The sequence below is a fragment of the Homo sapiens genome, chromosome 17, assembly GCF_000001405.40.
Source record: "Homo sapiens chromosome 17, GRCh38.p14 Primary Assembly".
Taxonomy (NCBI): domain Eukaryota; kingdom Metazoa; phylum Chordata; class Mammalia; order Primates; family Hominidae; genus Homo; species Homo sapiens.
Window position 1 is genome coordinate 43,208,705 of NC_000017.11, and position 23,101 is coordinate 43,231,805.

The 23,101-nt window shown below is 49.6% G+C and overlaps 3 protein-coding genes across 15 annotated transcripts in view, besides 3 other annotated features; 2 read left to right on the forward strand and 1 right to left on the reverse strand.

The window, feature by feature from the left end:
• The window catches only part of NBR1 (NBR1 autophagy cargo receptor), a 41,280-nt gene extending 38,296 nt beyond the window's left edge, over positions 1-2,984 (forward strand). For 8 of the 9 annotated variants that reach the window (XM_011524813.3, XM_017024643.3, NM_031862.4 and 5 more), the window contains one exon: positions 1,197-2,984. In XM_011524813.3, coding sequence (XP_011523115.1) covers positions 1,197-1,370 — 174 coding nt within the window. In that variant the 3' untranslated portion in view covers positions 1,371-2,984. Of the gene's footprint in view, positions 1-852; positions 1,159-1,196 lie in introns of those variants that run through there. The other variant, NM_001291571.2, reaches the window with a different exon arrangement.
• TMEM106A (transmembrane protein 106A) lies at positions 3,171-11,337 on the forward strand. Of its 4 annotated transcripts, NM_001291587.2 has the most exons (10): positions 3,171-3,218; positions 3,523-3,690; positions 4,317-4,341; positions 4,486-4,548; positions 5,124-5,187; positions 7,084-7,237; positions 7,745-7,885; positions 7,993-8,036; positions 8,555-8,608; positions 8,977-11,337. In NM_001291587.2, exons 3-10 carry the CDS (start codon positions 4,338-4,340, stop codon positions 9,095-9,097), a joined length of 645 nt encoding a protein of 214 aa, NP_001278516.1. In that variant the 5' UTR covers positions 3,171-3,218; positions 3,523-3,690; positions 4,317-4,337; the 3' UTR covers positions 9,098-11,337. The 4 variants fall into 4 exon arrangements, with proteins under 4 accessions (NP_001278516.1, NP_001278515.1, NP_659478.1 ...); NM_001291586.2 differs by having other exon boundaries at positions 3,501-3,690; positions 4,317-4,548; NM_145041.4 differs by having other exon boundaries at positions 4,317-4,548.
• Positions 8,066-8,360: an enhancer, noted in NCBI's record as "tiled region #10579; HepG2 Activating DNase matched - State 5:Enh". NCBI's record gives its function as "activates a minimal TATA promoter and a strong SV40 promoter by Sharpr-MPRA in HepG2 cells {active_cell/tissue: HepG2}" and the evidence as "EXISTENCE:reporter gene assay evidence [ECO:0000049][PMID:27701403]".
• Positions 11,338-12,712: 1,375 nt separating the features above from the next.
• CCDC200 (coiled-coil domain containing 200) lies at positions 12,713-22,565 on the reverse strand. 2 transcript variants are annotated; one of them, NR_047479.3, is made up of 6 exons: positions 22,554-22,565; positions 20,065-20,307; positions 19,746-19,842; positions 15,460-15,845; positions 14,852-14,910; positions 12,713-12,893 (listed from the first exon to the last, which is right to left on the reverse strand). NR_047479.3 is itself a non-coding variant. In NM_001363254.2 (4 exons), exons 1-4 carry the CDS (start codon positions 19,848-19,850, stop codon positions 12,867-12,869), a joined length of 507 nt encoding a protein of 168 aa, NP_001350183.1. In that variant the 5' UTR covers positions 19,851-19,919; the 3' UTR covers positions 12,716-12,866. The 2 variants fall into 2 exon arrangements, 1 of the variants encoding a protein (NP_001350183.1); NM_001363254.2 differs by lacking the exons at positions 20,065-20,307; positions 22,554-22,565 and having other exon boundaries at positions 12,716-12,893; positions 15,530-15,845; positions 19,746-19,919.
• Positions 18,549-18,738: a silencer, noted in NCBI's record as "fragment chr17:41379300-41379489 (GRCh37/hg19 assembly coordinates)". NCBI's record gives its function as "represses an EF-1alpha promoter that drives an FKBP-Casp9 reporter gene in an ReSE screen in K562 erythroleukemia cells {active_cell/tissue: K562}" and the evidence as "EXISTENCE:reporter gene assay evidence [ECO:0000049][PMID:32094911]".
• Positions 20,656-21,330: an enhancer, noted in NCBI's record as "H3K27ac-H3K4me1 hESC enhancer chr17:41381411-41382085 (GRCh37/hg19 assembly coordinates)". NCBI's record gives its function as "activates a minimal SCP1, AML or CMV promoter by ChIP-STARR-seq in naive H9 embryonic stem cells {active_cell/tissue: H9 hESC(naive)}" and the evidence as "EXISTENCE:reporter gene assay evidence [ECO:0000049][PMID:30033119]".
• Positions 22,566-23,101: the final 536 nt, after the last annotated feature.

Here is a 23,101-nt window from a genome sequence, read left to right on the forward strand (position 1 = left end):
TCTATAATCCCAGCATTTTGGGAGACCAAAGTTCAAGGATCACTTGGGCCCAGAAGTTCAAGACCAGCCTGGGCAACATAGGGAAACCTCATCTCTAGTAAAAAATTTAAAAATTTGCCGGGCGTGGTAGCGCAGACCAGTGGTCCCAGCTATTTGGAAGGCTGAGGCAGGAGGATCACTTGAGCCCAGGAGGTTGAGGCTGCAATGAGCTGTGTTCACACCACTGCACACCAGCCTGGGGAACAGAGTGACACCCTGTCTCAAAAAACAAACAAAACAACAACAACAACAAAACAAGCGTTTAAGGATTTAGGAAGGTAATGCTTCCACCACAGGGCTTGAATGAATGAATGTTAACTTCCTCTTACCTATTCTTGTTTTTTTTTTTTTGAGATGGAGTCTCGCTCTGTCACCCAGGCTGGAGTGCAATGGCGCGATCTCGGCTCACTGCAAGCTCCACCTCCTGGGTTCACGCCGTTGTCCTGCCTCAGCCTCCCGAGTAGCTGGGACTACAGGCGCCTGCCACCACGCCTGGCTAATTTTTTGTATTTTTAGTAGAGATGGGGTTTCACTGTGTTAGCCAGGATGGTCTCAATCTCCTGACCTCATGATCCGCCCGCCTCAGCCTCCCAAAGTGCTGGGATTACAGGTGTGAGCCACCGCACCCAGCCCCTCTTACCTATTCTTTTGGAGGAGAAAAAATCAAGAAGCCTTCCCAGGTTGTAATTTCCCAAGCTGTTTTTTTTGTCCAGCTCCTCTGCATATCTGACAAAATTTCCCATAGCATCTTTCAGTAACACTTTTATCTTGCTCATACTTCCCCCATCATCACAATTACACTTATGTTCACAGGGTCTCTGGGGCTTGCTGTCATTCCTTCATCTGGCCAAAAAATGCTTCTTCCTGAAAGCCCCGAGTGAAGCATTCTCCTGGTTCTAAGTACAGTTCATTAGCTCCCCGGTTTCCCTTTTCTCCTCCTTCAAGTACACAGATAACTAATCTAAAATAGGGCCTTCCCAGTCCGAACCGTTGGTATCAAGTACACAGGAGTGCCATAGCCTTGAATCTAATTACCTAGTACTTTGAATAAATCTGGAAAGACTAGTATGCTTGCAAGATGATACAAATGTATAAAATAAACATTTAAATTATACAGAATTTTTTTTTTTTTTTTTGCTTTGCTTGTCTCTACACAGCCAATAATTTCTGAAGATCAGACAGCAGCCCTGATGGCCCATCTCTTTGAAATGGGATTCTGTGACAGGCAGCTGAACCTACGGCTGCTGAAGAAACACAATTACAATATCCTGCAGGTTGTGACAGAACTTCTTCAGTTAAACAACAACGACTGGTACAGCCAACGCTATTGAGGAGTGACCTTGTATTAAATAACTGCCTGCTGCTCAGAGATGATCTTTATTCTGTCATTGGGGTATGGGATAGAAGCCCTTGCTTATTTTTAATCTGATGAATCTGTATAGAGCCCATCGTTGAGTTACCAAGACAATACCTGCTACAGTATTTTGGGGAGCAAACTAAAGACCAGAACTTAAATTTTCACTTTAGACATTGGATGAATAGTATGAAGACAGTTTTTCAGTTGATTTGGATAAAACTATTTTAGTGCATTGACAAGTGTAACTTCAACTTCATATAGAACCATTTTTCTTTCTGCTTTTATTGAAACTGAGTATTTTTCTTTGGCTAATGTGGATTTTTTATGGGGATATCTGTTAATTTTCAGGTTTTGAAAGACATTAACCTCGGAAGTTGTTTTTAAGAATTATTCTCATAATTCTTATTCTCATAATTTCTGTAATCCACCTCAAGCTTCATAGTTATTTGGCATTGAAATAACACCCAGAGCATGATAGAAATGTTGTTACTCTTCCTCTCTCAAGGAGAAAGTAATTTTCCTGCAATACTTAATAATTGGCACCGTTGCTTTCTAAAGACTCCATGGTGCATTCAAGAGTATCCAACTTCAAGGGAATCTCCGCATTTCAATGAAAGGAGGAAGAGTGTGCTGATAAACCTACCAGCACCTATTGAGCAATGTCTATTATAGTAATTTTGCATACATTTTTATTTAAGGGAAAAAATATAGGTATTGTGAAATATTTTGCTAATCTTATAGAAAAGGAAAAAATCCCGTTATTTAAAGGGAAAAGTAAATTTAACAGTTGCCTTTTTTCTTAATGTCAGGGCAGATCTTATTTTACAGTACAGTGGGGGAAATAGAAACATGTGAAAGGCAAAAGGCAGGCTCCTAAATTAATGTCAGTGAAGTTCAGGGTGGGCAAATGAGTGTGTGTGAGGTATAGGAAATGCTGATGACTTCTTTAATGCTTGAAGTCCGTTCACAGGTATCTAGCCCTAGAATGCCTAGAACAGGAAGAGGCAGCTGGTGTTCTGCAAAACTTGGACAGGGGCAAAGTTGCTGAAAAAGTTTTGGTTTAACCCGAAGATAAGTGGAAAAGAGCTTGTCCATGAACCCAGGTTCTCACTCTGTTTACAGAAGTGTGTTGAGTACAGTTGGTGAAGGAAGAGGTAACAAAAAATGCTAAATATTTTATCCATGAAAATGACTTCCAGAAAAGGAAGAATATGAACCCCAGACCGAAGGGGAAAAGATAGTTAATAGTATTATCTAACCTGGTTGGTATTTGTAATGAATGGTGATTTTAATTAGTCATTAGCCATAATGATGTTTATTTACAGTATAACTCCTGAATGCTACTTAAATAAACCAGGATTCAAACTGCAAGCCAGCCAGGCCGTTCATTATTTAAAACGTTTTAATCGGGGCTTCCGGGTAGAAGGTGGAGCGGCAGGGTGTAATTGGGTTGATGGGTGGGACCTGTCTTGACCATCGGAGTTTTATAATCGAGGGCCAGGAGGGCCCGGGTTGCTCTCCTGGTTATGTATGTACTTGTACATAACCACCTAAAGAATGGTGAAATAAATGTTCTTGGAAATTCCTACCCGGACTGGCTAGTCCTTGCGGAAGCAGCGTCCGGGCCCTCGGGTAACGTTTGAAGAGCTGGCAGCGTCTCAGGCTGCTGCGTGGCGAAGGGGCGGACCGGGGGACGGGGGGGTGGGCCCTTAGGGGCTGGGGCGGGACTTCCCTGGGCACTGAGTCAAAGCTTGAGGGGAGTGTTCGCTCCCGCATTTTCGATTCCACTCTCTTCCGTTTCTGTCGCTGCAGTCGTCCGCGGGTAAGGCCCTCCCTAGACCCTTTATACCTACTTTACCTTTCGGAGGTCAAGACACCTCCTGTTGCCGCCTCCTCGCCCAACACACAGGCGCCCCCCGCACGGGTACCAAGCTTGACTAACGGCCTCTAGGGGTGTGTGGTGGGACTTGAAATCCTCCCTTAATGAAGTCACACCTTCTCCGTCCGCTTCCACCCGGTCGGCCCATGGCAGAGCCCCCATGTAGCCCAGGAATCGGCTTGGCCCTTCGGGGAGGTCAGCGTCCTTACTATCCCCACTCTCCAGTGCGGCACATTCGTTCCCCTAGGACTCCGGCCGGTTGCCGGCCCCAGGCGGTGCTTCTCCCCACCACCGCCCAGCTCAGCTCAGCCCAGCCCAGCCCACTCTGCCCTTAGAGGCCCTTCTCCCCAAAGACGCACTCCAGAAGTCTCGCCCTCGTGCGGCTGAGGAGCCTGGGATCCCAGACCTGAACAAGGTGAGCATCCCTATATTTTAGCCCAGAAAGATCTGTGTGGCTCACTTGCCGGCCTCGTTCTGTCACACAGAGTCCAGATTTAGCCTTGAGTTTTCCTAGTGAAAGACAGACCCTGGTATCACTATGACCCTCCTCAGGCTTTCTTACCCCGCCTCAGAAAGCAGTGAGGTGTCTGCTTTCTCCCAGGGCTTCTTTAGATAGGGGTCTTAACCACACCTGTGACCAGTCTGGCCTCCTCTCTCCTTGATTCAAAGAATCTCTTTTCTGCCCTATCCAACTTCCTTCCCTTAAACTGAATGACAGCTCAGCAACTTTTCCAGAGAAAAATTAAATGCTCTGACAATCACTTATGGAAGTTCCTTAAAGTGAAGTAACTTCTGCTTTTCTTTTGTTTTCCCTTTTGTAGGCAGATTGGTCTCTTTTAAAATAATGAAAGGAGTCGAAATGCATTGAGACTTCTGAGAGTCCCATGTGACCACCCAGTTTTTCACATCCTATCTTCCTTAGGCTTGAGCTTGCTTAAACTGTGGTGAAGCTCCTTGCCAGTCTTGAGAACTTCAAACCAAAATTACATCTGGCGTCAGTGCTAACAAGCTTAGCACTGAACTTTGGTCTTTTCTCATTAGTGAAACCCCCGCCCCTGAAGAATGGGTAAGACGTTTTCCCAGCTGGGCTCTTGGCGGGAGGATGAGAACAAGTCAATCCTGTCCTCCAAACCAGCCATTGGCAGCAAGGCTGTCAACTACTCCAGCACCGGTAGCAGCAAGTCTTTTTGTTCCTGTGTGCCTTGTGAAGGAACTGCTGATGCCAGCTTCGTGACTTGTCCCACCTGCCAGGGCAGTGGCAAGATTCCCCAAGGTGAGTGGCCCAAGGCTCTGGAAATAGCCTGGAATCCAGGGAAAGTTCTTAGCCTGTTGGCCTGGGGCAGCCCCTCTGAGTCTCCTTGGATGGGGTTAGATCTGCTCCCAGCTCTTGACCTCCCAGTCTCAGGCTGGCCAGGGAGATACTTAACTATCCTTGGGTTCCCTGCAAAAACCTGCCCTCCTTCCCTGGTTGTATTCTCCAGCCCCTTGTGGGAAAGAAGGATTCTAGCCACTGTGCTTCTGAGCAACACTGTGTGTCCTAGGATTCATTCAGTTCAGGAAGTTACAAATGAACTTTCCAAAGATGCTGGGCATCTCTGATTTGCTGGTGACTTTCAGAGATTCTTCATACCTATTAGTGGAAATCTCACTTCCATTCTAGAGATGGCAAAGCTGAGCTGCCAACTTTGGTAGCAGAGTCCAGTGCTTCCAGTCCTGCTCTGGGGCAGATGTGGCATGTTTCTAACATTGCTCTATGGTGTGGGTGGAGGCGTGCTTCTGGGAAGCTGGCACAGTAAATATTTGTCACAGTTGCATCTTGGCCCTCCCTCTCACCTTCTCTCTCTCTAGAGCTGGAGAAGCAGTTGGTGGCTCTCATTCCCTATGGGGACCAGAGGCTGAAGCCCAAGCACACGTAAGCCCCCCTTCCTCCCCTAGCTTCACAAGCCATTGCCCCTGGGGGCTGCTCCCTTTGTCTCCCCTGTTTTGATCTCCCTTAATTTCTTCCTATTAGTTCTTCCATAGAAAGCCTGAGCCTCAGAGGTACCAGCTCCTTACGTCCAAGGATTTTTTCCTGATTTAGAAGCTCCTGGACCGGGTGTGGTGGCTCATGCCTGTAATCCCAGCACTTTGGGAGGCCAAGGCAGGCAGATTACTTGAGCTCAGGAGTTCAAGACCAGCCTGGGCAACATGGTGAAACCCCATCTCTATCAAAAAAAAAAAAAAAAAGAAAAAAAAAAAGAAAAGAAAGAAAGAAAGAAAAAAGCAGCAGCTGTGGGCACAGCAGATGTCACTTGAGGCCACCTGGTGGGCTTCCTTAAGCATCACTGCTTCCAGAAAGCATGGCCCCCTCTCCAAGACAGGAAGGATCTGGTAGCTCTGCAAGTCCTCCCAGGAAGGAGGGAACAAGCATGTGGCCCTGGCTGCAATTGATTTGAAAATGTTATTTTTCTTAAGCACCTCCCTTGCTGAGGCAGTTCAGATTTGCTTGTTTTTCTTCTAGTAGAGATGAAAAACCTATTGTCCGCTGTTCTGGGATACTTCAGAACCTCAGGCAGACCTGGGGCCTACTGTGTTTGTGATCTGAGTCCATCTGACATGGAGCTCCCTCAACCTCCTCCCAAGGTCCTGGTGTCAACCTGGGAGTCACCACCAAGCCGAACCCTCTCCGCCACCCCACTATACCAGAATTAGAAATCAGGCTGGGCGTGGTGGTTTATGCCTGTAATCCCAGCACTTTGGGGAGGCCAAGACAGGCGGATCACCTGAGGTTAGGAGTTCAAGACCAGCCTGGCCAACATGGCGAAACCCTGTCTCTACTAAAAATAGAAAAATTATCTGGGCGTGGTGGCAGACACCAGTAATCCTAGCTACTTGGGAGGCTGAGGCAGGAGAATTGTTTGAACCCAGGAGGTGGAGGCTTCAGTGAGCCAAGATCATGCCACTGCACTCCAGCCTGAGCAACAGAGCGAGGCCTCATCTGAAAAAAAAAAAAAAACAAAAAAAAACCCTGTAATCCCAGCACTTTGGGAGGCCAAGGCGGGCAGATCACGAGGTCAGGAGTTTGAGACCAGCCTGACCAACATGGCAAAACCGCCTCTACTAAAAATACAAAAATTAGCCGGGCATAGTGGCAGGCACCTGTAATCCCAGCTACTCAGGAGGCTGAGGCAGGAGAATGGCGTGAACCCGGGAGGTGGAGGTTGCAGTGAGCCGAGATCGTGCCACTGCACTCCAGCTTGGGCGACACAGCAAGACTCCATCTCAAAAAAAAGAAAAAAAAAAGAAATTAGCAGTGCACATCATAAGATACTAACAAAGTACTATCTCTTTAATGCATATCTGAATTTTGAATTGGATGGATGGTGTCCTGTTCTGAATGTTAAAATTCAGAACTTCCAAATATGGACTTATTTCTTCTAGTGATAATAACTAGCATTCATTGTGCTTTTGCCATGTGCAGGGACCTGTGATTAGTATTTTTTCATATATTAGCCGATAACAAATTCTGTGAGGTCAGTACAATTATCTGCCTTTTACCAACAAGGAAACTGAGACTTAAGGAGGCTAAGTGGGCTGCTCCATGTTATTGGGTCAATGGGAACAGAGATCTGGGAGTGGAAACCAGGCTGCCTGCCTGCCAATCCTGTGCTCCTACTCATTCCGGGCCACATCTGGGGAGCTAAATGTTGTTGGGGTAGTGTGCAGGGGAAAGCTTTGTATATGGAGAGGAGTGTCTGAACCCCCTCTCCGAGTTTCCTTGGTGTTCAGACTTTTCCATTCCTCCATCCTGGGTCCTGCTTTCCCACAGGAAGCTCTTTGTGTTCCTGGCCGTGCTCATCTGCCTGGTGACCTCCTCCTTCATCGTCTTTTTCCTGTTTCCCCGGTCCGTCATTGTGCAGCCTGCAGGCCTCAACTCCTCCACAGTGGCCTTTGATGAGGCTGATATCTACCTCAACATAACGGTGGGTGGGTGCCCTTGGCTCCAAACCCCCCTTCCTAGCAATACTTCGCTGTAACCTTTGTCCAGTGTTATGACCCTGGGCATGGGAAGCCAGAGATCTTATGGCACCCAGAGGGTGTTGGGAGCCTGAAGAGAAGTAGGAGCAACCATGAGCTCCATGACAGATGGTAAGGATTGGGACTCTACACAGTAAGGGGTCAGAATCCGGGCCAGATAAGTAAACCACAGGGGTGGAGTGGGGTGACAGTGCCTGAGACTCTCTGGATGGACAGGACTGAATGGAAAGAAGCTGTACAGGATGGACCTGGATCCTGAGGCAGCTTAACTTCGTAAAGTTGACCCCTCACCATTCAATGCCCCTCCAAGGGGCTCCCAGTTTTCATCCTCTGCACCTGAAGCTTGTCATGGTAGATGGGGCTCAGGCCAGACAGCCAGGCTTTTGCAACTGTTTGGCTTTTCCTAAGGATGGGCCATCTTCACTCCTCCCTTCCCTTGTCTTCATCCCCAGAATATCTTAAACATCTCCAATGGCAACTACTACCCCATTATGGTGACACAGCTGACCCTCGAGGTTCTGCACCTGTCCCTCGTGGTGGGGCAGGTTTCCAACAACCTTCTCCTACACATTGGCCCTTTGGCCAGTGAACAGGTGACTCCCCTCTCCCTGGCCAGCCCTGCCCACTGGTGTGTGGATGTGTGGTAGTGGGAAAGGGGCAGCTGGAGTTGGGGCTAACCCTGTGCCCATTTGGTTGACAGATGTTTTACGCAGTAGCTACCAAGATACGGGATGAAAACACATAGTGAGTACCCCTTGATCTCTTCTCCCCTAGCCACTTGCCTGGCTTAGGGACCCAATTAATACCCACCAGCTTTCCTGATTGCTTAGCAAATTCTTCAGCCAGCATCTGGCCTGCCCTCCCATGGCCGAGAATGTAATAAGCAAGGGTTCAGGGTCCCCAGCCTCTGCTTGTTTGGACCTTGATTAGAATGAAAAACAGGCTGGAATTTGGTTAATCTTTACAATATGTGACCTTGGGCTCTTCAGCCTGCATTGCTGAGGAAGAAGAATGTTTTGTCTGTCTCCTGAATGGGGGTCCAGCATGTGCCTGGGCCAAGTGAGTGGAGGTCAGAGTGATAGTGCAGCCATGCTGCTACACTCACCTGAAGGGTGGGAAGGGGTGGGAGTGACATTTTGGGGGCACCTGATGGAAGGAAAGAGTTCTGTGGGGTAAGGAAACTGGGACCTGCAGGCATCTTCTGAGCTGACAGGCTGCTCCATGTGACACGTGGTCCCACGTTCTCTTTTCTTCTCTCTCAGCAAAATCTGTACCTGGCTGGAAATCAAAGTCCACCATGTGCTTTTGCACATCCAGTAAGTAGAGCTTGGAGCTCTGGTATCCCTGCTCTCACTTCTGACTTCATTCTCACTCAGCTACACCTCATGGGCAGAGAGTCTTCCAAGCTGACCCCATGAATCTTTGTTGGCTCTTGGGAATAGCAAGTCTAGCCCCTTTTCTGAGTCTCACCTTGCCTATAAGTTATTAGGGGCAACAGGCATAGGGCTGTCTGGAAGCTGCTGGAAAACAGGTGGGGCAGCTGTCCCAGGTACCTTGGCAGAGTGGGGAGCCAGAGGGAAGGGCAAATGAGGGAGCTCCCCGCTCCCCACCCCCAGACAGTATAATGGGGCCAGAGCTTTCCTTTTCCTCCCAGCCATGGCAACAAGGCCTGCTTCCTCTCCAGGGGCACCCTGACCTGTTCATACCTGAGCCATTCAGAGCAGCTGGTCTTTCAGAGCTATGAATATGTGGACTGCCGAGGAAACGCATCTGTGCCCCACCAGCTGACCCCTCACCCACCATGACCTGTCTGCTGTCCCTGTACTCCAGGCACCTGCAACCCTGGTCTATATCTCCCACAACTCCCTGGTGACTAAGGAAGGACTACAGAGGCTTTGCCAAAGGAGAAGCCCTGCCTCATCACACCCTTACCTCCCACCCCCTCAGCACAGGAAGCTTGCTTTGAAGTTAACTTCATACACACACACTCATATCCTCCAGTTTCCCCCAGATTCTTTCAGGGGCTGCCATCAGATTCTGCCCTTGGTTAGTTTTTTGTTTTTTTTTTGGTAGAGACAGAGTCTCACTGTTGGTCCAGGTTGGTTTTGAACTCCTGGGCTCAAGCGATCCTCCCTTCTTGGCCTCCCAAAGCACTTGGATTACAGATGTGAGCCTGTGCCTGGCTGGTCTTTCTTGAGGAAAATCTGACCTGGCATTTTCTTGAGGCACCTTAGATTCCCTGGAGTGGCACCTGGCCTTTCTGTACTGAGCACCTGGTCAGTCTGAAGGGGGCATTTCACCCCAGCTCCATCAGGGCTGGCTGTCCCGTCTGAATGTGGAGAGAGCTGTAGTTTTATCTGGCTTTTAAAACATGGACCTGCCGGCTGGGCGCAGTGGCTTACACCTGTAATCCCAGTACTTTGGGAGGCCGAAGTGGGTGGATCACTTGAGGGCAGGAGTTCGTGACCAGCCTGGTCAACATGGTGAAACCTTGTCTCTACTAAAAATACAAAAATTAGCTGGGTGTGGTGGCATGCGCCTGTAATCCCAGCTACTCGGGAGGCTGAGGCAGCAGAATCACTTGAAACCGGAAGGCAGAGGTTGCAGTGAGCCAAGATCGTGCAACTGCACTCCAGCCTGGGCAAAAGAGCAAAACTTTGTCTCAAAAAAAGACTCTTTTCAAGTTTTCTACCCTCTGATAAGAAAATTTGGGGATATCCAGTGCCATCTCCAAGGACTTTCAGGGGATCATAGATGCTTTTCTGTGCCTATCTGCTTTGACCATGTGAAAAAGTGATAGTCTGCTTCTCTCTGGTAACTTGTCTGCCACCCATCTGATAGTAAGATTAGCCAAGGCCCTTTAGCCCTCTGTCCTTTCTGGTTATTGACTGTCCCTGGTTCCTAGGAAGACAGAGTTGTTCTCCAGCTAAAGCGTCTCCTCTCTATAAAGTAGTTTTACTATTCTTTTCATAGCAGGAGCCAAAATAGTAGAGGAGGGGAGAGAGGCACCTGGCACTCTGCGGGCCTGCACAGGAAAAACAGAGCCAAAGACAGAATCATTGTATAAGATATTTATTAAAGGAGAGCCTCTAAGTCCACATCCTGAGCCCATGTGAGTGGACACAGGTAGGTAAAACGGTGGGTCCAGCTGCTGTCATCTGAAAGCCTTCAGGAGATGAAGCTATCAGTATCCAGCTGAAGGCTGCTGGGTTCTGTTCCACCACCACCTTAGCACCAGGGCCCTCTCTGGTCCCAGAGGCCTCATCTCTCCTTGGGCTTTGACAATGTGGAGCAGCACATCAGCAGGGACTGGTCTAGACCCTCCCTTTCCTGTCACTTAGCTGGAGCTAAGCTCCAGATAACCCCTAGGTTCCCACTGGCTCCTAGTAGAAATAGTTTCTGTACTTTAGCAGAACAGGAAGGATATTTGTTCATTAAAGGTGGCTTGGTCTTACAGCTGGGTGCAGTGGTATATACCTGTAGTCCCAGCTACTCAGGAAGCTGAGGTGAGAGGATCTCTAGAGCCCAGGAATTCAAGTTTAACATGAGCAGCAACATTAGCAAGACCCCGTTTAAAAAAAAAAAAAGAGCTGGGCGTAATGGCGCACACCTGTAATCCCACCTACTCAGGAGGCTGAGGCAGGAGAATCACTTGAACCTGGGAGGCAGAGGTTGCAGTGAGCCAAGATCGCACCACTGCACTCCAGCCTGGGCAACAAGGGCGAGACTCTGTCTCAAAAAAAAAAAAAAAAAAAGATGGCTGTCTCTTTATCATTCAGACAGAACGATGAACACAGGTGAGCAGGGAAAGCTAATTTTGAAGTAGGATGCATGGAGAGGGAGAAGTGGTGACAGAACTTGGTAACTAGCTGGCTGGGGGAACGAGGGGAAGGAAGGAGACTGCTGTCTCCAAGCTGAGGTCAGGGTGGTGTTGGCAAGAGCGCAAAAGTCCAGGGAAGCCAGGCTGGAGCTGCTGTGTATAGACTGCCAAATGTGAAGTATTTATATTGTATTCAATAAACTATACTTAAGAGTGTTCAAAAAAGTCTCCTGGGAGTGGGAAGGGAGCTAGTGGATACTCCCTATTTCACAAACTTTTCTTTTTTTTTTTTTTTGAGACAGTTTCGCTCTGTTACCCAGGCTAGAGTGCAATGGCATGATCTTGGCACAGTGCAACCTCTGCCTCCTGTGTTCAAGTGATTCTCGTGCCTCAGACTCCCTGAGTAGTTGGGGTTACAGACATGCACCACCACACCAAATTAATTTTTGTATTTTTAGTAGAGACAGTGTTTTATCATGTTAGCCAGGCTGGTCTCAAACTCCTGGCCTCAAGCGATCTGCCCGCCTCGGCCTCCCAGAGTGCTGGGATTACAGGCATGAGCCACTGCACCTGGCAGAAACTGTTTCCTTAATGTTCTAACGGGCAGCAAGGTTTCTTCCCCAGGCCTCTGAGCCACTGATGACATATCCTGCCCTTCTGTTTTCCGTGAGATTGCTCACAGGACCTCACTCTCCCTCTTGCTCCCATTGTGTATCTCTAAAGTCTCTTCCAATTTTACTATTCCTGTTCTGTGCCACCACCATCCCGTTATCTTCCCCAGCTGCTCTCATCAGGAAATTTCGTGGGTTGCACTGAAACGGCCCCTTCAGACCAAAGGCAATGCTATGTAGGCTAAAATGAAATACGCAGCTGATGCCTCGGACGGGGCTTGTGATTGAGGTGACTGAGGCAGCCTTTCTCAGCATGGAGGAAGAAAGGCTTTCCCAGGGCTTGCACCTTCCTGAAGTCTAACACCCAGGGCCCCCAGCCCTACCCACTCCTTCACCTTGGGCTGGTGAACCTCTGGGTTGTCTCTGCTAGATGGAGAGGCTGAGAGCCAGGAAGGGAGAGGGCTGTGGGTTTTAGAAGGCAAGACTCCCTCCCCTTCCCAGGGTCAGGTGTCATGTTCCTGAGGCTATAGCCTCCGTTTCCTCCAAGCTCTTTCGCTCCATCCCTGCCTCCATTGTCCATTTGACAGCTGAGTGCCCACTGTAGGCCAGCCATTGCACTGGGCTTGGAGGTGGGGAGCATCACTGCCTGCCACCACTTTCTGCTGCTGCAGGCCTGCTCTGATGTGATGCGACCCCTCCTTCCCCAGGCTATATCTCAGTAAGCATGGGCTTGGGGGAATGGGTGATGGCTCCAGTGACAGTCATAAACTGAAGCCCCCCACAGACTTATCACTGCTGAATGAGGGCAGGTAGTGATAGTAGTAGGAGTTGCATACTTGGGGGGGACCCAAGACCCAGTTCTCCCATTGGCTTTGCCTAGAGAAGCATAAACTTGCCTTCCACTCTCTTTCCACCCTCTCCATCCCCTTCGTGAGTCCTCCTGCCCTCTTCCTCTCATCCCTGTCTCATAAAGCTGTCCGGTCCCGTGATTCTTCCCAGGAAAAAAATTACATTTTATTCCTGGCAGCCTCCTCTTCTAGAGTGGGTGGCTTTTGGAGTGGAGATATTGCTGGATGCTGAGAAGATGTGGTTGCTCATCTGCATTTTGGGGATGGCCATGGGGTCCTGGGTTCAATCTCTGGATCACCACTGCTGTATGTAATTGGTAGACTGAGAAGAGGGAGAGACAGGAAACAAAACAAGTTAGCAGCTTCTGGTTTCAGAACATTGTGTGAAATCCCTTGAGTCCAGAGGAATCAAAGTGAAATGTAGCAGCCCACTCTTCATCCTAGAAGTGCTAGCATCAGTTTCTTTCATCTGTTGCACCTCTGTCAGAGACACCTTTCCAATGCCTTGCACAATTGCACAATTATATATTCTTGTTAAGAGTTGCCATCCAGGCCAGGCGTGGTGGCTCACACCTGTAATCCCAGCACTTTGGGAGGCCAAGACGGGTAGATCTTTTGAGACCAGCCTGGCCAACATAGCAAAACCCCATCTCTACTAATAATATAAAAATTAGCTGGGCGTGGTGGTACATGCCTGTAATCCCAGCTACTCGGGAGGCTGAGGCAGGAGAATCATTTGAACCCGGGAAGTGGAGGTTGCAGGTGGAGTGCAGCTGAGATCCAGCCTGGGTAACAGAGTGAGACTGTGTCTCAAAAAAAAAGAAAAAGGTTGCCATCCTGAGTTTGATAGCCTACAATGAGCTGGACTCCAAGCTAAGTGCTTTTAATGCTCTTTCCTCTGTCTGTCTGTCTGTCTATCTCACTCTTTTACCCAGGCTGGAGTGCAGTGGTGTCATCCTGGCTCACTGCAACCTCCACCTCCAGGGGTCAAGTGATTCTCCTGCCTCAGTCTCCCGAATAGCTGGGACTACAGATGCGCCCTACCACACCTGGCTAATTTTTTGTATTTTTAGTAGAGATGGCATCTCAGCATGTTGCCCAGGCTGTTCTCAAATTCCTGAGCTCAGGCAATCTGCTCACCTCGGCCTCCCAAAGTGCTGGGATTTCAGGCATGGGCCCCTGCGCCTGGCCCCTTTCCTTTATTAATAATTGCCATATTCAGTCCTCATGCCACCTCTGTTGAGGAAGTTGTATCATCTATCATTTTATGGATAGCGCTGAGCAATAGGCCATCCATACCCAGGCATTTTTTCCTTTTTTTTTTTTTTTCTTTCAGGGAGGGTCTCACTCTGTTGCACAGGCTGGAGTGCAGTGGTGTGATCACCACTTACGGCAGCCTCAACCTCTGGTGCTCAAGCGATCTTCACCTTAGCCTCCCAAGTAGCTTGGACTCCAGGTATGTGCCACCATGCCCAGCTAGTTTTGTTTTTTTTTTTCGTTTTTTTTTTTTTTTTAAACGAAGTCTCGCTCTGTCACCAGGTTGGAGTGAAGTGGCACGATCTTGGCTCACTGCAACCTTTTCCTCCTGGGTTCAAGTGATTCTCCTGCCTCAGCCTCCCGAGCAGCTGGGACTACAGGCACATGCCACCCACCCAGCTAATTTTTGTATTTTTAGTAGAGATGGGGTTTCGCCATGTTGGCCAGGATGGTCTTGATCTCTTGACCTCATGATCTGCCTGCCTCAGCCCCTCAAAGTGCTGGGATTACAGGTGTGAGCCACCGTGCCTGGCTACCCAGCTAGTTTTTAAAATTTTTTGTTGTTGTTGAGATGGAGTCTCACTCTGTTGCCCAGGCTGGTCTCAAACTTCTGGGCTCAAGCGATCCTCTCACCTTGATCTCCCAAAGTGCTGGGATTATAGGCATGAGCCCCACACACTTGGCTTTTTTTCAATTTTTTTCAATTTTTTTCAATTTTTTTTTTTTTTTGGAGATGTCTGAACCTGAACTCCTGGGCTCAAGCAATACTCCTGCCTCAGCTTCCCAAGTAGCCAAGACTACTGCACCCAGCTTCCTACCCAAACATTTTTAATGGTGGCAAAGAATAGAGGAATAGACCATCCAGAAGTAATTTGAAATAATTCTAGTCTCCTCCCCTTACTCCTGCTAAGGAGGTTTCTCTGGACTACACACACACACACACACACTCACACTCTCTCTCTCTCTCTCTCTTTCTTTCTGTCACCCAGAGTCTGTCTTTCACAGTCTGTGTCCCTATCTTACCTTGAGTTGTGAATACCCAGTGTTTCTGATGGGGCTAGATTGGCATGGGTTCATGAGACCTGATGATGAAACAAAGTACAGGTTACTCATCCAGCAGTTTTCCAAGGATGGAATACTGCAAGCCTGGAGTGCTTGTGTCTGGTGACCCAGGGGGTGATGGGGGTGCAGTGAGGACAGGCTCCTACCTGGGACAGGGCACAGACTGAGCCCTTCCTGAAGATTCTCAACTAGGAAGCTGTGCTGTGGTTCCCTGTTCCAGACCTCACGGGGCTCAGTATATCTGTTAATAAGCCTACAACTCATGTCCCACCCTCTGATCACCCCCACCTCCTCTGTCACGCTTACTCTGGAAGAAGGGCCGACAGCTTCTCAACCACTCTCTGCAGAAGTTGGAAGGCTCCTTTGCAGCCGTAGGTTGGCATTAACCCACCCAGGGGGAGTTGACCAGCAAGGCATTAAAGGCCGAGGGTACTTGGGAGAGTCAGAGAGGGTAGGGTGGTAGATATGGATTCTACACTACAGGGCCGGGATGGAAGCAAAGGGCTCCTCTCCTTACCACCTCCCACTCCCAGGCTCCAGTCCAGAGTCTGTAAGGATTTTCTGCCCACCCTGGAATCTGTTGTTGATACAGAGATTGCCCTCCAGCTTAGTAGATCCCCGCTGAAGTAGGCTGGTGACCTGGCCTTTGGGAATCCTGGAGATTGCATTTGGAGGTGTGCTGAGTACAACGGGCTTGAGCACTTGGTTGTGTTGGCTGAGGTGGTGGCTGTGGTTGTGGTGGCTGTGGCCCTGGCCACACCTGTGCCTGTGGCAATGTTGATGGCTGTGGTGGTGGCTGTGATGGTGGCTGCACTGATGGCTGCTGCTGTGATGGCTGTGGTTGCTCCTGTGATGTCCACAATTTCGCCACTGGTGGTTGCGGCACATTTAACTTCTTATGTGGCTGGAGTTTTTCCTCCGATTGTTGTTCTTCCTCCTGGTGATTCTTCAGTTCCTGGCAAGAAGCCCCCGGGCAAGTGGCATCATCCTCTCCCCACCCAATCACCCATCTGCCAGAGAAACTTCAGGGAACAAGGCAAGTGAGTAGAGAAGTATAGGTGGCAGTGGTCTCTGTTCCCTAGAGCTGGAGGCTGAAATTGGGCCTACGCTGTCTGCCTCACCCACTGTGACACCCAAGAACGATTTCTGGGTGGCACAGCCCCAGCCCAGGAAATAGCACTCTCTCTGAGCACCTGCTTCCTCACTTGAGAGCTCAGCACTGAAAGCAGTTTTTAGTGCTGGAGGATAAAGAGTAATTCCCTGCAAATGTCTTGTGTTTTGTTTTTTAGAGATAGGTTCCCACTCTGTCACCCAGGCTGGAGTGCAGTAGCACTTTTATGACTCACTGTAATCTGGAACTACTGGGCTCAAGTGATTCTCCTGCCTCAGCTTCGCAAGTAGCTAGGACTACAGGTGCACACCACCATGCCCGGTTAATTTTTTTTTTTTAATAGAGACAGGGACTCATTATGTTGCCCAGGCTGGAGTGCAGTAAGTGGTGCAATCTTGGCTCACTGCTGCCCCAACCTCCCAGGCTCAAGCGATCCTTCCACCTCAGCCTCCTGAGCAGCTTGGACTAAATGCATGTGCCACCATGCCTTGCTAATTTTTAAATTTTCTGTAGAGACAGGGTCCCCCTATGTTGCCTAGGTTGGTTTGGAACTCCTAGCCTCAAGCGATCCTCCCACCTCAGCCTCCCAAAGTGATTTTTTTAATAGCCCAAGGGTGCTTCTAAACCTTACAAGTGCTTTGAAATAGCAGTGTCAAATAAAAATATAATTCATGCTGGGCCGGACGCGGTGGCTCACGCCTGTCATCCCAGCACTTTGGGAAGCCGAGGCGGGCGGATCACGAGGTCAGGAGTTCGAGACCAGCCTGACCAACATGGTGAAACCCCGTCTCTACTAAAAATACAAAAATTAGTTGGGCTTGGTGGCAGGCACCTGTAATCCCAGCTACTCAGGAGGCTGAGGCAGGAGAATTGCTTAAACCCAGGAGGCGGAGGTTGCAGTGAGCCAGGATCATGCCACTGCACTCCAGCCTGGGCGACAGAATGAGACTCCGTCTAAAAAAAAAAAAAAAAAAGTATATATATATATTGCATGCTACATGTGTAATTTTAAATTCTCTTTCTTTTTTTCTTTTTTTTTTTTGTTTGAGACAGAGTCTCGTTCTGTCCCCCAGGCTGGAGTGCAATGGCCTGATCTTGGCTCATTGCAACCTCTGCTTCCTGAGTTCAAGCGATTCTCCTGCCTCAGCCTCCTGAGTAGCTGGGATTATAGGCATGTGCCACCACGCCAAGCTAATTTTTGTATTTTTAGTAGAGGCGGGGTTTCACCATGTTGGCCAGGATGGTCTCGAACTCCTGACCTTGTGATCCACCCGCCTCGGCCTCCCAAAGTGCTGGGATGACAGGCGTGAGCCACTGCATCCAGCCACTAAATTTTCTAATAGCCACATAGAAGAAGAAATAGGGCCAGGCACAGTGGCACATGCCTGTAATCCACGCTTTGTGGCACTGAGACAGGAGGATTGTTTGAAGCTAGGAGTTTGAGGCCAGCCTGGGCAACATAGTGAGACCTGGTCTTTACAAAAAATTAGCTAGGCATGGTGGTGCATGCCTGTAGTCCCAGCTACTCAGGAGGCTGAGGCTGGAGGATGGCTTGAGCCCAGGAGATCAAGGCTGCAGTGAGCTATGAATGGGCCGTCACACTCCAGGTTTGGTGACAGAGGAAGACCTTGTCTCAAAAAAAGAAGAAGAAGAAAAAACAAGTGAAACTAATTTTAATTACTTGTATTTATTTATTTTTTTGTGTGCAACAGGGTCTCACTTTGTCTCGCAGGCTGGAATATAGTGGCGTGATCACAAGGCTTACCGTAGCCCTTGACCTCCCAGGCTCAAGTGATTCTCCCACTGCAGCCTCCCGAGTAGCTGGGACTATGGGTGCACACTACCATGCCTGGCTAATTTTTCTATTTGTTTTAGAGACGGATTTCACCATGATACCAGGCTGGTCTGAAACTCCTGGGCTCAAAGGATCAGCCCGCCTTGGCTCCCAAAGAGCTGGGATTACAGGCGTGAGCCACTGCACCCAGCCTAATAATATATTTTACTTAACCCCATGCATCCAAAACATCAATATGAACATATCAGTGAAGTATTTTATATTCTTTGTTTTCATACTAAGTCTTCAAAACCTAGCTTGAATTTGAAACAACAGCACATCTTAATTTGGACACTAAATTTTCATCAAAAATATTTCATTGATTTAGATTTCATAAATTTACAGTTGAAAAAGTAGATGTACATATCCAAATTGTCCCAAACATGCTTAAAATTTTTCCAGTATGTATGTTGTTTTAAAATATTTATATTTTTGTTGTTGTTGTTGTTGTTTTTTAAGATGGATTTTTGCTCTTGTCACCCAGGCTGGAGTGCAACGGCGCGATCTTGGCTCACTGCAACCTCCACCTCCCAGGTTCAGGCGATTCCCCTACCTCAGCCTCCCGAGTAGCTGGGATTACAGGTGCGCGCCACCACGCCCGGCTGATTTTTGTATTTTTAGTAGAGATGGGGTTTCACCATGTTGGTCAGGCTGGTCTCGAACTCCTGACCACAGGTGATCCACCTGCCTTGGCCTCCCAAAGTGCTGGGATTACAGGTGTGAGCCACTGTGCCCGGCTGGGAGCAAGACTGGAGCAAGACTCCATCTCAAAAAAAAAATAAAATAAATAAGTGAATTAATTAATTAAAGGCCAGGCATGGTGGTTCACACTTGTCAACATTTTGGGAGGCTGAGGTGGGAGGATTGCTTGAGTCCAGGAGTTCCAGACCAGCCAGGGCAACATAGTGAGACCCTGTCTGTATTACAATAATAAAATCAAATAAAGTTTTTAATTTTTTTTTTGAGACAGAGTCTCACTCTGTCACTCAGGTCAGAGTGCAGTGGCACTATCTTGGCTCACTGCAACCTCCACCTCACTGATTCAAGTGATTCTCATGCCTCAGTCTCCCCAGGTAGCTGGAATTCCAGGCAAGCGCCACCATGCCTAGCTACTTTTTGTACTTTTAGTAGAGACCAGGTTTCGCCATGTTGGCCAGGCTGGTCTTGAACTCCTGACCTCAACTGATCCACCCACCTTGGCCTCCCAAAGTGCTGGATTACAGGTGTGAGCCACCATGCCCGGCCAAAATAACATTTTTAAAAACTAAATTAAATTTATATAACACTGACCGGGCATCATGGCTCATGCCTGCAATCCCAGCACTTTGGGAGGCTGAGGTGGGTGGATCACCTGAGGTCGGGAGTTTGAGACCAGCCTCACCAACATGGAGAAACCGTGTCTCTACTAAAAATACAAAATTATCTGGGCGTGGTGGCGCATGCCTGTAATACCAGCTACTCGGGAGGCTGAGGCAGGAGAATCACTTGAACCCGGGAGGCAGAGGTTGTGGTGAGCCAAGATTGCACCATTGCACTCCAGCCTGGGCAACAAGAGCAAAACTCCATCTCAAAAAAAAAAAAAAAAATTTGGTTCCTCAGTCACACTCCAAGGCTCAATATAGCATACAGGCTGGGGGTTACCCTATTGGACAGAACATCTTTAAACCTCCCAGGCCTAGTACCCTTGCCTTCCCCTAGACTATTACAAGAGGGAAATTGAGTCAGCTGATAGTGGTCCCCCCAACACAGACACAGTCTATCTGAGAGAACGCCAAATGACCTTGCTTTCCTCCTACCCCCAGCAAACAGCATTCACCAAATAGTAGGCAGCTTCCTAGGGATCTCTCTCCATTCTCCATTCCCTTCCTGCTCCAGAGAGGACCCTGAAGAACCCAGCCTATCCCATGCACCTGTTCTTTCTGCTGCAGCTCCTGCTGCTGCTGGGCCATCAGCCATCTCCTTCGGTCCAAAGCCATCTGCCGGCGCCGGGCCTCCCAGTGGTAGGCACTACCCATGATAGTGGGATGGTATGAGGCCCCAGGTGGGGGTGGGGACAGGCAGAGCCCACTGCTCCCACCACCTCTGTCTCTTCCCACTCAGACCCCTCTGCCTATAACTGGAACCACCTCACAATGTGGTTACTGCCAGGGCAACTGGGCAGGCCCCGCCTGCTTTGTTGAGAGAGGGAGGCATTTTTCCCAAGGCTCCCAGGGAACATCTGCAAAGTACCTTTCTCTCCTGGGTCCTGATCAGATAGAAGACCTTCCCACCTTAGCTTTGAGTCTCAATGGGCCCCATGGACAATTCAGCAGTAAAGTCTTTTCTCTCTGGCTTCTTTCCCCCATTCTTCCTCAGAGGGTTCCAGCATCATCATCTGACCCTTCCTCTGCTCATCTCTCCCCACTTAGGTCTCCGGAATTACCTTTTTCTCCTTAATCTCTCCTCTCTCCATCTCCCCCATAAATGTCTGTGCTGAGTCAGAATGAAAGAAAATACAAAATCCTACTAAGCCTCACTGAGGTCTGAGCCCCCAGAACGCAAAGGGGCTTCTTAGAAAACACCCTAGCTCTGGAGATTTCTAATTCTGGACTCAAGCCTAGCGTCTACCTCTTAATTTTATTTTCATTTTATTTTTTATTTTTTGAGATGGAGTTTCACTCTTGTTGCCCAGGCTGGAGTGCAATGGCGCAATCTCGGCTCACTGCAACCTCCGCCTCCCAGGTTCAAGAGATTCTCCTACCTCAGCCTCCCAAGTAGCTAGGATTACAGGCATGCACCACCATGCCCGGATAATTTTTGTATTTTTAGTAGAGACAGGGTTTCTCCACGTTGGTCAGGCTGATCTCAAACTCCAGACCTCAGGTGATCCGCCCGCCTCAGCCTCCCAAAGTGCTGGGATTACAGGTGTGAGCCACCACGCCCAGCCTGGGACTGTGCATTTAAGATCACCCCAAGTGGCTGGGCACAGTGGCCTCTGCCTCCTGGGTTCAAGCAAACAAAAAGAAAGAGCCTAGGCAACCTAGTGAAACCCTGTTCGGGCTGCGGCCTATCTGTACCCCAGCTATTCCAGAGGCTGAGGCAGGAGGGTGGATGGATGCTGGGAGGTGGATGCTGCAGTGAGCAGTGATTGCACCACTGCACTCCAGCCTGGGTGACAGAGCCAGACCCCGTCCCAAATAAATAAAAATAAAGGAACCAGTTTGTAGAAAGCAGGAGAGGGTCCCATTGAACTTCAAGCCTTCAAGCTACAGCTGTGGCTGGACAGGTTGGACCAGCAGGCTGGAGCAGTCGCCATCTTGGCAGGGATCATTGACCCTGATCTATCATCGGGAGGAAGAAGAGCTGATCTTATGCAGGGAGGGCAGGTGGACTATGTGTGGACTCTGGTGATCTGTTTGGGTGCCAGGTGTTACTCCCAGGGCCACCCATAACTGTGAATGTGCAGGAACCCTGACTTAGGTTCCTGGGGAATGAGAGTTTGGTTCCCGGTACCCAGGGAAACCACCAGCATCGGCAGAGGTGATAGCTGGGGAGGAGCGGGGATTTGGACGAGAGACACAGGATGAGTACCGGGGGCAGCCCTGTGATCAACAACTGCTGCAAGAGGGGCCGTTTGTTCGACTCACTAGTCTTCTGTGGCTCTATGCGGTACTAAAGAGCAGAAGACAGAAGATACAAAAACCACAAAAATTAGCCGGGCGTGGTGCTGCGCGTCAATAATCCCAGCTACTCGGGAGGCTGAGATGGGAGAATCGCTTGAATCCGGGAGGTGGAAGTTTCAGCGAGCTGAGATCACGCCATTGCAGTCCAACCTGAGCGTCCGAGCGAGACTATCTCAGAAAGTAAAGACAGAATTAAAGTGCCCAGCGCAGTGGCTCACGCCTGTAATCCCAGCGCTTTGGGAGGCCGAGGCGGGCAGATCACCTGAAGTCAGGAGTTCGAGACCAGCCTGGCCAACTTGGCGAGACCTCCTTAAAAATACAAAAATTAGCTGGGCGTGGTGGCAAACACCTGTAATCCCAGCTACCCAAGGAGGCTGAGGCAGGAGAATCACTGGAACCCGGGAGGCAGAGGCTGCAGTGAGCCGAGATCGCGCCACTGCACTCCAGCCTGGGTGACAGAGCAAGACTTTGTCTCTGAAAAAAAAAAAAAAAAAAAAGCATGGGCGCGGTGGCTCATGCCTGTAATCCCAGCACTTTGGGAGGCTGAGGCGGGCAGATCATGAGGTCAGGAGATCGAGACCATCCTGGCTAACACGGTGAATCCCCGTCTCTACTAAAAGTACAAAAAAATTAGCCAGACGTAGTGGCAGGTGCCTGTCGTCCCCGCTACTTGGGAGGCTGAGGCAGAAGAATGGCGCGAACCCAGGAGGTGGAGCTTGCAGTGAGCCGAGATGCGCCACTGCACTCCAGCCTCAGCGACAGAGTGAGACTCCGTCTCAAAAAAAAAAAAAAAAAAGCTTGGGCCAGTGGCTCACACCTGTAATCCCAGCACTTTGGGAGGCGGCAGGCAGGCGGATCACCAGAGGCTGGGAGTTGGAGACCAGCCTGACCAACATGGAGAAACCCCAATCTGTACTAAAAAGCCTCTGAGGAAGAGTGGGGGAAAGATGCCACAGAGAAAAGACTTTACTGCTGAATTGTCCATGGGGCCCACTGAGACTCAAAGCTAAGGTGGGAAGGTCTTCTATCTGATCAGGACCCAGGAGAGAAAGATACTTTGCAGATGTTTCCTGGGAGCCTTGGGAAAAATGCCTCCCTCCCTCAACAAAGCAGGCGGGGCCTGCCCAGTTGCCCTGGCAGTAACCACATTGTGAGGTGGTTCCAGTTATAGGCAGAGGGGTCTGAGTGGGAAGAGACAGAGGTGGTGGGAGCAGTGGGCTCAGCCTTTACTTCGCCGCCCGAGGGCGGGGAGACCGGCCCCGTACCCGAGGGGACGAGGGGCCCATGCCCAGTCAGGGAAGCCGAAGGCCTGGAGGGGCTTCCGGGAGCAGGGGCTGGAGTTCCTCTGCCAGGCAGGAGGCTGGCACCAGACACCCGGCAGAGGGAGGCGGCGAGGGCCCAGCAAGGATTCTCCCCAGCCCCTGTGCCTGCGTCTCCTGCGGCTTCTGTGCGCGGACCGTGTCCTGTGCTGTGTAGGGAATGCTGCCTCTCTGCTCGGGACGTGGATTCCTTTCCCCTCCTCCTCGCCTGGCTACTTCTGACGCAGGTCGTCAGGACTCCGCTTGGGTGTCACCCGTGCAGGAAGCCTCCCTTAGTCAAGGGCC

Excerpts from the sequence above, each read along its gene's own strand:
- TMEM106A (NM_001291586.2), top strand. The coding sequence starts at position 4,338 with ATGGGTAAGACGTTTTCCCAGCTGGGCTCTTGGCGGGAGGATGAGAAC. Across the intron at positions 8,037-8,554 it reads ATACGGGATGAAAACACATA|CAAAATCTGTACCTGGCTGG; the intron begins GTGAGTACCCCT and ends CTTCTCTCTCAG. Across the intron at positions 8,609-8,976 it reads CATGTGCTTTTGCACATCCA|GGGCACCCTGACCTGTTCAT; the intron begins GTAAGTAGAGCT and ends CTTCCTCTCCAG.
- CCDC200 (NM_001363254.2), bottom strand. The coding sequence starts at position 19,850 with ATGGGTAGTGCCTACCACTGGGAGGCCCGGCGCCGGCAGATGGCTTTG. Across the intron at positions 15,846-19,745 it reads AGCTGCAGCAGAAAGAACAG|GAACTGAAGAATCACCAGGA; the intron begins GTGCATGGGATA and ends GCTTCTTGCCAG. Across the intron at positions 12,894-14,851 it reads CTGGGTATTCACAACTCAAG|TCTACCAATTACATACAGCA; the intron begins GTAAGATAGGGA and ends CCCTCTTCTCAG.